This window comes from Homo sapiens, chromosome 10 (genome assembly GCF_000001405.40).
Source record: "Homo sapiens chromosome 10, GRCh38.p14 Primary Assembly".
Taxonomy (NCBI): Eukaryota; Metazoa; Chordata; class Mammalia; order Primates; family Hominidae; genus Homo; species Homo sapiens.
This window is the reverse complement of record NC_000010.11, coordinates 90,938,948-90,951,490: the sequence shown is the minus strand read 5'-3', so window position 1 is coordinate 90,951,490 and position 12,543 is coordinate 90,938,948. Positions and strand designations below refer to the sequence as shown.

General features: G+C 40.9%; 1 long non-coding RNA gene across 1 annotated transcript in view, besides 1 other annotated feature; it reads right to left on the bottom strand.

Moving 5' to 3' along the window:
* XLOC_008559 (uncharacterized LOC105378427) overlaps positions 1–4,191 on the bottom strand; it is a 44,833-nt gene extending 40,642 nt beyond the window's left edge. Inside the window, exons 1-3 of the long non-coding RNA NR_131214.1 lie at positions 4,083–4,191; positions 3,843–3,951; positions 3,442–3,559 (exon numbers count right to left, since the gene is read on the bottom strand). This is a non-coding gene — a long non-coding RNA (uncharacterized LOC105378427). The remainder of the gene's footprint in view (positions 1–3,441; positions 3,560–3,842; positions 3,952–4,082) is intronic.
* Positions 4,041–4,100: an enhancer, noted in NCBI's record as "active region_3758". NCBI's record gives its function as "activates an Ori minimal core promoter by ATAC-STARR-seq in GM12878 lymphoblastoid cells {active_cell/tissue: GM12878}" and the evidence as "EXISTENCE:reporter gene assay evidence [ECO:0000049][PMID:35858748]".

Below are 12,543 nucleotides of genomic sequence, written 5' to 3'. Positions count from 1 at the left end.
TTTGATGGAACGTACCTCAAAATAGTAAGAGCTATTTATGACAAACCCACAGGCAATATCATACTTAATGGGCAAAAGCTGGAAGCATTCCCTTTGAAAACCAGCACAAGACAGGGATACCCTCTCTCACCACTCCTATTCAACACAATGTTGGAAGTTCTGGCCAGGGCAATTAGGCAAGAGAAAGAAATGAAGTGTATTCCAATAGGAAGAGAGGAAGTCAAATTGTCTCTGTTTGCAGATGACATGATTGTATATTTAGAAAACCCTGTCATCTCAGCCCAAAATCTTCTTAAACTGATAAGCAACTTCAGCAAAGTCTTAGGATATAAAATCAATGTGCAAAAATCACATGCATTCCTATACACCAATAATAGACAGAGAGTCAAATTATGAGTAAACTCCCATTCACAATTGCTACAAGAGAATAAAATACCTAAGAGTACAACTTATAGGGGATGTGAAGAACGTCTTCAAGGAGAACTACAAACCACTGCTCAAGGAAATAAGAGAGGACACAAATAAATGGAAAAATATTCCATGTTCATGGATAGGAAGAATCAACATTGTAAAAATGGCCATACTTCCCAAAGTAATTTATAGATTCAATGCTATCCCCATTAAGCTATCATTGACTTTCTTCACAGAATTGGAATAAACTACTTTAAATTTCATATGGAACCAAAAAAGAGCCTGTATAGCCAAGACAATCCTAAGCAAAAAGAACAAAGCTGTAGACATCATGCTACCTGACTTTAAACTCTACTACAAGGCTACAGTAACCAAAACAGCATGGTACTGGTACTAAAACAGATATATAGACCAATGGAATAGAACACAGGCCTCAGAAATAATGCCACACATCTACTACCATCTGATCTTTGACAAACCTGACAAAAACTAGCAATGGGGAAAGCATTCCCTATTTAATAAATGGTGTTGGGAAAACTGGCTAGCCATAGGCAGAAAACTGAAACTGGACTCCTTTCTTACACCTTATACAAAAATTAACTTGAGATGGATTAAAGACTTAAACATAACACCTAAAACCATAAAAAACCCTAGAAGAAAACCTAGGCAATACCATTCAGGACATAGGCATGGAAAAAGACTTCATGACTAAAATGCCAAGAGCAATGGCAACAAAAGCCAAAATTGATAAATGGGATCTAATTAAACTAAAGAGCTTCTGCACAGCAGAAGAAACTATCATTAGACTGAACAGGCAACCTACAGAATGGAAGAAAATTTTTGCAATGTATCCCCATCTGACAAAAGGCTAATATCCAGAATCTACAAGGAACTTAAACAAATCTACAAGAAGAAAACAAACAACCTCATCAAAAAGTGGGCGAAGGATATGAACAGGCACTTCTCAAAAGAAGACATTTATGCAGCCAACAAACATATGAATAAAAGCTTATCATCACTGGTCATTAGAGAAATGCAAATCAAAGCCACAATAAGATACCATCTCACACCAGTTAGAATGGCAATCATTAAAAAGTCAGGAAACAACAGATGCTGGAGATGATGTGGAGAGTTAGGAATGCTTTTACACTGTTGGTAGGAGTGTAAATTAGTTCAACTATTGTGGAAAACAGTGTGGCTATTCCTCAAGGATCTAGAACCAGAAATACCATTTGACCCAGCAATCCTATTACTGGGTATATACCCAAAGGATTATAAATCATTCTACTATAAAGACACGTGCACATGTATGTTTATTGCAGCATTATTCACAATAGCAAAGACGTGGAACCAACTCAAATGCCCATCAGTGATAGACTGGATAAAGAAAATGTGGCACATATACACCATGGAATACTATGCATCTGTAAAAATGGATGAATTCATGTCCTTTGAGGGACATGGATGAAGCTGGAAACCATCATTCTCAGCATACTAACACAGGAACAGAAAACCAAACACCACATGTTCTCACTCATAAGTGGGAGTTGAACAATGAGAACACATGGACACAGGGAGGAGAACATCACACACTGGGGCCAGTCAGGGGGTTGGGGGCTAGGGGAGGGATAGCATTAGGACAAATACCTAATGTAGATGACAGGTTGATGGGTGCAGCAAACCACCACGGCATGTGTATGCCTATGTAACAAACCTGCATGTTCTGCACATGTATCCCAGAACTTAAAGTATAATGAAAAGAAAAGGAAAAAGAAAAGAAAAGAAATCTGGAGGTTTGAGAGAATTAATACCCCAATGAACAATCCTTGACCAAGGGGAACAAAAGCTCATGGCTAGTCCTTTGTACCATGTCTCACTCAGACAGTTCTGACACACTTTCTACCTAGCTCCTCAGAGTTTACCCAGCAAGACCGGGGACCAGTTGCCCAAAGTGGTAACCAGCCCAATAAAGCAGCAAATTTTATCTCTATATAACATCTCCATATTGATAATTCTCAAGCGTCTCTCAAGCATGCACTGTTCCCCTAAATTTCAAGCTCCTATAATTATACTACTTCCTCAACATGCCTTCCTGGAGATCTAATAGACATCGCAGGCTCAACATGTCCAAAAACAAACCCTGATTCCTTCTCTTCCAAAACATGTCTCTCCCAAAACCTTCCCCAATTCAGTGCATGGCAGCTTCATCTCCCCAGTTGCTCAGTGAAAAATGTTGGTTCATTCTTGACTCTTCTCATTTTCTCATATCCCACCACTTTTCCATCAGAAAATCTTGGTTGGTGTTACCTCCAAAACATACCCATTCTGTGTTCACCTTTTACACTTCCGCTTTACCAAGCCGCAATAATCCTGACCTGTGTTATTGTTTTAGCCTTCTAGTGGTCTCTGTGATTCCACCCTAGCTGCTTTGCCATCTGTTCTCAACATAGCAGCCAAAAGATCCTTTTTAAACCTAAATAAATGTGTCACTTAAATAAAAAATTGTCACTCCTCTATTCAAGCTCTCCAGGATCTCTCATCTCATTCAGAATAATCCAAAGTATCATCAATGATCAAAGAAGTCCTACATGGCCAGGCATGGTGGCTTAAGCTTATAATCCCAGCACTTTGGGAGGCCAAGGCAGGCAGATCACTTGAGGTCAGGAGTTCGAGACCAGCCTGACCAACATGGTGAAACCCCCTGTCAACTAAAAATACAAAAATTAGCCAGGCGTGGTGGCTAATGCCTGAATTCCCAGCTACTCGGGAGGCCGAGGCAGGAGAATTGCTTGAACCCAGGAGGCGGAGGTTGCAGTGAGCCAAGACCAAGTCATTGTACTCTAGCCTGGGTGACAACAGTGAAACTCCGTCTCAAAAAAAAAAAAAAAGTCCTACATGAGGGTCAGGCTGGATCATGCCCATAATCCCTGCACTTTGGGAGACAAGAAGAGACTATCCCTTGAACCCAGGAGCTTGAAGCCAGCCTGGGCAACATAGTAAGACTGTTTCTACAAAAAATACAAAAGTTACCTGGGCATGGTGGTGCACATCTGAAATCCCAGCTACTCGGGAGGCTGAGGTGGGGGAATCGCTTGAGCCCAGGAGATCAAGGCTGCAGTGAGGAAAGGTTGTGCCATTGCACTCCGGTCTGGGGAAGAGAACGAGACCCTGTTTCTAAAAATAAACCAATAAATAAAAATTCCAACAGGATCTGGCCCTCACTACTTTTCTTCTCTCTCTTCACTGCAGCCACATTGACTCTCCACTATTCCTCAAATATGCTAAGCATGCTTTTGCCTCAGGGACTTTTCATAAGCAGTTCCCTCTGGCTGGAAGGCATTTTCTGCAGATATGTACATGGATCCCTCTTCCTTCAGGCCTGTGTTGAGCTGTTACCTCATCACCTTGTGTAACACAGAGCCACTTCTTACCTTGTTTTGTTTTCCTTCATGGCGCTTACCGCCATGCAGTATTTGCTTGTTTATATGTGTATTGTTTAGCTTCTCTCACTATAGAATTTTTTCTCTTCCGTGAGGAGTTCTGCAAGAGAAAAGGCTTAGTTTTGCTTACTGTTCTGTCCCTAGAACAATACTGGACACATTGTTAACATTCAACATCTGAATGAAGGACATGTTAGGTATTACTATACTCCTCACTTGTAGAGAAGATACCTAAGGTGGCAGGAGATGAGACTTGGGTCTTTTAACTCTTCATTCAGTCATTTCCCTGGCACCCCCTGGGAACTTGGCTGCTGTTGTTGAGGCAGGAGCTCCAAATGAAGTGGGAACATTCAGGCCCAGGTTTTCCCAGACCTCATGGGTCCTAGCTCTCATTGTTAGAGCTGGAAACTGCATGTCTCTGTGGTTAGACTATGGCTGTGTCTCCTGCACAGGAAGTCAGTTAACCATAGACATACTCAGAAAACAAACTGACAATCTATTTCTTCCCAGGCTCATTTCAGAGCAGCTCACTTCTTTTACCAGTAGGCAAAGGAAAGAGTGAGCTTTTGAAAGCTCTTTTCAGTAGACCTGGTCAAAATCTTAAGCTACTAGTCAAATAGCATGAAATTCTGAAAATCAGAATTTAGTATAAAATCCAATATAAACTGAGGGCATTTAACAAAATTTAGTGGAGAGCTTTAGTTCTACTAGTCATTTTCTCTTTAAAGTGTTAGTCAAAAAGAAATACCTGAAAAAAATGCTATGGATATGAAAAAAGGTTTGAGAAGTTTGACTCTTAAATTCTCAATGTCTTAATTTTTTTTTCTTTCCCGAAAACAGACATGTTTTGTTTTGTCTGCATATTAAAAATTACTTTTTAGGCTGGGTGCAGTGGCCCACCTCTGCAATCCCAGCACTTTGGGAGGCCAAGGTGAGAGGATCACTTGAGCCCAGGAGTTTGAGACCAGTCTGGGTAATATAATGAGACCTTGTCTCTACAAGAAATTTAAAAATTAGCCAAGCAAGGTGGGGTGCACCTGTAGTCCCAGCTACTCAGGAGGCTGAGGTGGGAGGATCACTTGAGCCCAGGATGCGGAGGCTGCAGCAAGCTGAGATTGTGCCACTTCTCTCCAGCCTGGGCAACAAAGAAAAATCCTGTCTGAAAAAAAAAATTCACATGACTAGAAATCAGGTAACTATTACCTAAAAGTGGTTATCTATTGCTGCATAACACACCATCCTTAAACTTGGTCATGTAAAATAAGGACTTACTCTTCTTGTGATCTGTGGAGTGGCTGGAAAGTTCCTCTGCTTGTTGCCCTTGGACCTCACTCATGCAGTTGTAATCAGCAGAGAACTGGTTGTGCTTAGGATAGGGGTAGAAAAACTTCTTGTGTAAAGGGCTAGATAATACATATTTTATGTTTTGATGGCCATTTGGTCTCTGTCACAAATATTCAATCTGCCGTTACAGCACAAAAGCAACCACAGGCAATATGTAAACAATAGAGTGTGATTGTGTTCCCATAAAGCTTTATTTGTGGACTCTAAAATTTGAATTTTATGTGATTTTCACATATCACAAACATTCTTCTTCTTTTAATTTTTCTAACCATTAAAATTATAAAAAACTTTCTTATTTTTGCAGGCCATACAAAATTAGGCAGTGGGCCAAATCTGGCCGCTAGTTTAGAAGGTCCACGGTAGTCTCGCTCGCAGGCATGGCAGTTGCAGCTGGCTGGGGCACCCTGGTTCTCCTCCACAAGGCCTTTCATCCTCCAGAAGTCTGAATTGGCCTTGTTCATGGCACTTTCAGGGCAGCATTCCAAGAGGTGGAAGGGAGAGTCTGCAAGACTTCTGAGGCTGGCTCCAGACCTCACTCAGTATCCCCACTGCTCCATTTCAGTCAGAGTAAGTCACTAGTCCTGCCCAGACTCAAGGGATGAGGGAACTGACTCTACCTCATGATGAGATGAGCTGTGAAATACTGTGGCTGAGTTTTTCAGTTTACCACAGTGAGTAATTTTCATGGGTTTAATGGCATCTCCCCCTCATTTTTGAAGTCCTCAGCTTCAGTACCTCTGTTTTTGAAAACAGAGTTGTGACAGATGTGATTAGTTAAGAAGAAGTCACACTAGACTGTGGTGGGCCCTAATCCAATATGACTAGTGTCCTTATCCAAAGGGGAAATTTGGAAACAGACATGCACACAGGGAGAACACCATGTGACCCCAAAGGTAGAGTTCGGGGTGATGCATCTGCAAGCCGAGGAATGCCAAAGATTGCCAGATTCTTAGTTTGCTAGGACTGCTGTAACAAAGTATAGCTGTCCCTCGGTATTCTGAGGGGATTTGTTCTAGGACCTTCCTCAGATACCAAAATTCGTGGATGCACAAGTCTGTTATAGAAATGGTTCAGTGTTTGCATATAATTTACATATATCCTCCTGTATACTTTAAATCATCTCTAGATTATTTATCATACCTAGTACAATGTAAATGCCATGTAAATAGTAGTTACACTATATCGTTTAGGGAATAATGACCAAAAAAAGTCTATACATGTTCAGTACAGACACAACCATCACTTTTTGTCTGAATATTTTTGATCTGTGGTTGGTTAAGCCCCCAGATATGGAGGGCTGACTATGCCACAGCCTGGGTACTTAAATAACAGAAATTTACTTTCTCACAGCTCTGGAAGCTAGATGTCTGAGATCAAGGTGTCAGTGGGGCTTGTTCCTTCTGAGGGCTGTAGGAGAAAGATCTGTTTCAGGTCTCTCTATTTGTTTTGTGGATGGCTTGTTTTCTTCTTGTGTCTTTACATCATCATTCCTCTGTATGAGTCTGTATCCAGATTTATTTTTCTTATAAGGACACAATTCATACTGGATTAGAGTTCACCGTAATGACCTCATTTTAACTTGATTAATTCTGTAAAGATCTTCTTTCCAAATGAAGTCTTCTTCTGAGGTTCTGAGGGTTAGAACTTCAAAAAATGAATTTTGTAGAGATCCATAACAGCTAGGAAACTACCAGGAACTAGGAGAAAGGCATAGAACGATTCTTCCTTACTGCCCTCAAAAAGAACCAATCCTGCTAATGTCTTGATCTTAGACTTCTAGCCTCCCGGCTGTAAGAAAACAAATTTCTATTGTGTAAATACCCTGTTTGTGGTACTTTGTTACGGTGACCTTAGAAAATTATATTGTAAACATAAGCAAAAACGCAATTTTTCAAGAGCTGAAACTCTAACTGGAAATCAACTAAAGGTTTTACCACATTGACAATTTGAAGTTTATCGCCCAGATGCCACTATTCAAATCTGTTAACACATAAAACTATTCCAAAAGTCAATTTGAGAGATTTTACACGTGTTAGTTACAAATATTAAGAATCTTCACATTTCATACTTTTCCAAAATAGAAATTCAGACCATAATATTCTTGATTTTAATTGACATTCTTACACAAACATGAAAACATAAGTGGAAGCTGACAGTCAAAGACCAAAATGTTTAGGGATTAAAAAGGGGCTGTTGAACTTAAATGTAATATCCAAAACTGTAAAAACCCTAGAAGAAAATCTAGGCAATACCATTCAGGACATAGGCATGGGCAAAGATTTCATGATGAAAATGTCAGAAGCAATTGCAACGCAAGCAAAAATTGACAAATGGGATCTAATTAAACTAAAGAACTTCTGCACAGCAAAATAAAGTATCATCAGAGTGAACAGACAACATACAGAATGGAAGAAAAATTTTGTAATCTATCCATCTAACAAAAGTCTAATATCCAGAGTCTACAAAGAGCTTAAGCAAATTTACCAGAAAAAACTCCATTAAAAAGTGGGCAAAGGACATGAACAGACACATATCAAAAGAAGACATGCATGCAGCCAAAAAATAGGAAAGAAAGCTCAACATCACTGATCATTAGAGAAATGCAAATCAAAACCACAATGAGATACCATCTCATGCCAATCAGAATGGCTATTATTAAAAGGTCAAGAAACAACAGATGCTGATGAGGCTGCAGAGGAAAAGGAACGCTTTTACACTGTTTGGTGGGAATGTAAATTAGTTCAACCATTGTGGAAGACAGTGTGGCGATTCCTTAAAGATCTATAAGCAGAAATACCATTTGACTCAGCCATCCCATTACTGGGTATATACTCAAAGGAATATAAACCATTCTATTATAAAGATACATGCACACATATGTTCATTGCAGTACTATTCATAAGAGCAAAGACACAGAATCAGCCCAAATGCCCATCAATAATAGACTGGATAAAGAAAATGTGGTACTCATAAATCATGGAATACTAAGCAGCCATAAAAAGGAATGAGATCATGTCCTTTGCACGGACATGGATAAAGCTGGAGGCCATTATTCTCAGCAAACTAACACAGGAAAAGAAAACCAAACACCACATGTTCTCACTTATAAGTGGGAGCTGAACGATGAGAACACATGCACACAAGGAGGGGAACACCACACACTGGGGCCTGTCAGAGGTGGTGGGAGAGAGAGCATCAGGAAGAATAGCTAATGGATGTTGGGCTTAATGTCTAAGTGATGGGGTGATCAGTGCAGCAAACCACCAAGGCACACATTTAGCTATGTAACAAACCGATTTATCCTGCACATGTAACCTGGAATTTAAAATAAAAGTTGAATTAAAAAAAAAGGGGGTGGGGGGAAGAGGAGGCTTTCGGTAACACCAATCTAACTTTATTTAATAGCTGAAAAAAAAAACGGTGTTTAAAAGATTTACGGCCAGTCGCGGTGGCTCACACCTGTAGTCCCAGCACTTTGGGAGGCCAAGGCAGGCAGATCACAAGGTCAAGAAATCGAGACCATCATGGCCAACACGGTGAAACCCCGTCTCTACTAAAAATGCAAAAATTAGCTGGGCAAGGTGGCGCATGCCTGTAGTCCCAGCTACTCAGGAGGCTGAAGCAGGAGAATTGCTTGAACCCAGGAAGTGGATGTTGCAGTGAGCTGAGATCGCATCACTGCACTCCAGCCTGGTGACAGGGCAAGACTCCATCTTAATTTAAAAAAAAAATTGTGATTTATCTAAAGCCAGGAAGTTAGACAGAGTGGTAGGTGATTTACTGTGACCCAGGCTAGGTAAATACTGTGATCTTGTTAACCTTAACCTAATGCTCTTTCAACCAGCTTCTTGCCTTTTTAATTCAATTCAGAAAAGTAATACTATATATTTTAATTTCAATTTAGGGTTCATAAAGTTTTTTCTTTTTTTTGTTTTTTTGTTTTTTTTTTTTTTTTTGAGGCAAAATCTTGCTCTGTTGCCAGGCTGGAGTACAGTGGCATGATCTCGGCTCACTGCAATCTCTGCCTCCCGGGCTCAAGTGACTCTCCTGCCTCAGCCTCCCGAGTAGCTGGGACTACAGGCACACACCACCGTGCACAGCTAATTTTTTGTATTTTAGTAGAGATGGGATTTCACCATGTTGGCCAGGCTGATCTTGAACTCCTGACCTCGTGATCTGCCCGCCTCGGCCTCCCAGAGTGCTGGGATTACAGGCATGAACCACTGCAGCCGGCCTAAAGATTTTTTAACATATCTATTTTCATCTTTGTTCTGATACTGGGATTTGTTGTCTCAATTTTGTAGATGAGAAAATTGAAGATCAAGGTCACTCAACATAATCAATTTAAGTGACAAAGCTTGCACCCAGGTCTTCAGATTCCAAACTCAGTCTGCTTCCTACTACACTTCTGCAGCCTCCCTAATACTGAATAAAAGCATCTCAGAACTTAAAGCCGATTGGGCCACAGAATCAGGTAAATCAGATCTTGCATTAAGTTGTGAAACCAAAACTTCACTGTAAAAGCTCAATGATGAGTATCCTTAAAAAAATTTTTAAAAATAAAAGCAATCTTGTGCTTTCTTTGATAAAACAAACAAACAAAATACAATCTTCAAATTTCTGCCATGGATATGATGAGAGGTGTGTGGACTCTCATTTCACGGCATGAAAAAGCAGCTATGATGAAGAATGCCCCTCACCAGGTGGGGTTCTCAAACATTTTGTGTTTATGTGCCAGGCCAGTGTTACCCACTGTCATCATAGTGTTGCCTTTTCCAAACTGTGAGATGGCACAAGTGGGTTCACTCCTCAGTTTACCAGAGTGCTGCAATCCTCAAGGGCTCCAGCTAAGCCGGCACTGTCAGTATTTTCTCACTTCTCATAACATTATAGAGCTGGGTTTAATGAAGAGCTTGATGTAGAAACTAGCAGACCTGACTTCGAATTCTGGTTCTTCCACTTGTTAGCTGGGACAATATTGTCTAGTTATTTATCTCTGTGAGCCTCAGGGTCCTCATCTATAAAATAGGAGTGACAACAGAGATACTAGCACTATACTCAGCACATATTATTAATCTAAAGCATGTGATTAACTGGAAGGCCTACCTAAATCATTAAAGCAATCAGGGGAAGAGCATTGGACAGTGGTAGTCATTGGTGTTCATTCTTTGACCACTTTGTGTACATCCCAGACCATTTTTATTCTGGAAGTTGTTAACATATTGTATCCCTTTTACCAGCCAAAGGATCGTGTTCTCCTTTCTGTTTTGGCTTCGAGGGAGCCAAAATTGGTGGCCTAACCATAATGGCATAGCAGGACTGAAAGTCCTGTGGATTTTTGACCTAACGTTTCCTTTTGCTTGGTTGTTATTCTATGCAGTTTATATTTCCTCTGGGTCTAGTTTTCATTCTCTGTTTTGTTAAATGGCTTCTTATTAGCTGTTTTAAATCCATTGTGGGACAAAGTCAAGTATGTAACTGGGTTATGGAGGAATCTCAACTTGTTGGGGGAAAGACATGAAACATTTCAATTTCTTTCACTAGCTGCTCCCAAGTCCCAGTTATACTCCATCAAATCATTCTTTATGCTTTAACAACATCTTAGGTATAATTAACAAAGTCTTTCATAACGTTTGCTTCATTTTCAACAGTTAAAATGTAGTCTGGGCTGGGCAAAGTGGCTCATGCTTTTATAATCCCAGCACTTTGGGAGGCTGAGGTAGGAGGATTACTTGAGCCCAGGAGTTTGAGATCAGCCTGGGCAATATAGGAAGATCTTGTCTCTACCAAAAAAAACAAAACAAAATTAGCCAGGCATGGTGGCACGTGGATCTCATGTAGTCCCAGCTACTCAGGAGGTTAAGGTGGAAGGATTGCTTGAGCCTGGGAGGTTGTGGCTATAGTGAGCTGTGATTGTGCCACTGCACTTCCTGGGTGACAGAGTGAGACCCTGTTTCAAAAAAAAAAAAAAGGAGAGAGAGAGAGAAAGGTCTGGTACAAAACTTCAATCTCCTATGTTTTCAAAGCCTCTCCATTCCTCAGGGCTCCCACTCCTTCACTGGGTCAGGGTAGGGAAGAGGGAGGGAGAAAGAATCAACTTGTTTTTAATGGCTGCTGAGGAGCCAGCACACTCTAGCCAACGTCCATGTCCCCAGTGTGACGGAGTTCATGCAGCAGTTCTTTGGAGACCCTTAAAGGCCCCTTCCCCTCCCTTGCTGCCTAATTCCCTGACCAGAAGATCCAACTCCAGCCCCACCTCATTTGCTCCCCTGCTCCCCGCCCACCTCTGCTCCACAGGGGCCCTGTGTGCAACATCCTCTTGTTGTAGTGCATCTTCACCAAGAGACAACCCTCCTGGGTGGGATAATAGCAAGATGGCTCAAGCCAGCTCCTTGTGATGCCCTGTGTCCAGTGGTCCCGTGGGAAACACATGCTCATTGTCACGCCCAGTGGTAGGTATGCAGCTGCTGCACCACCTCTCCCCACCTCCACATCTCTCCAAGTCTCTGACGCTGATGCAGAAGAGCAAGTCTGCTGTGGATATCCAACCACGGGAAGGATGACCATCTCTTAGACTCCCCTTCTTCTCCCTGTCTTTTTATAGTGAGCAGTGGTCCTTAGCGAGGGTCACACAATCTCCTAGGGACATTTTGGAAATATGTGGAGCTGTTATTGGTTGTCACGGCGATTGGGGGATCTTCTGATACTTAATGGGCCAGGGATTCCAGACATCCTGCAATGCACAAGACAATTCCACATGGAGAAGAACCATCTCACATCTACACATCTTTCTGGTGTCCTCCCAGACATTTTATAATGACATAGGCCTAGAACTCAATTCTATTTTATGCAAAAAACACAGGGTATTTTTGTATAGCTTTGATATACATTGGATTTTCCAGAAACATACCTAACATGTAAATCAAGGGAAGATTATACAGTACTTGTTCCTTTTGGAAACTTGCCAAAGACTGTTCAGCATTCGAACAATCACATCACTGATGGCAAAGCCAGTTGTGCTGTTTAGTTGCCAAAATATCAGTCTGCATTTTATCTGTTCAGTTGGCAAAAAGTCTATGTATAAAAACAAATTTACTTATTTACCCCTTGTTTCAATATGTATAAAGACAAAGTGTTGATGATATTCAACTTTATATTGGCCTATTTTCTTTTCAATGCAAACTTACTCATTACAAACAGGCCCAAACCACTGACTACTTTGTTATGTCTCCTAGAGTTGTGGTGCCCCAGGAAACACATATTATTTTAATAACTTACCTCTCCTTTATTTATATTATTTCTAAAAAGTTAGGGATTATATTGGCTTTGGGAGAAAATTATATACCTA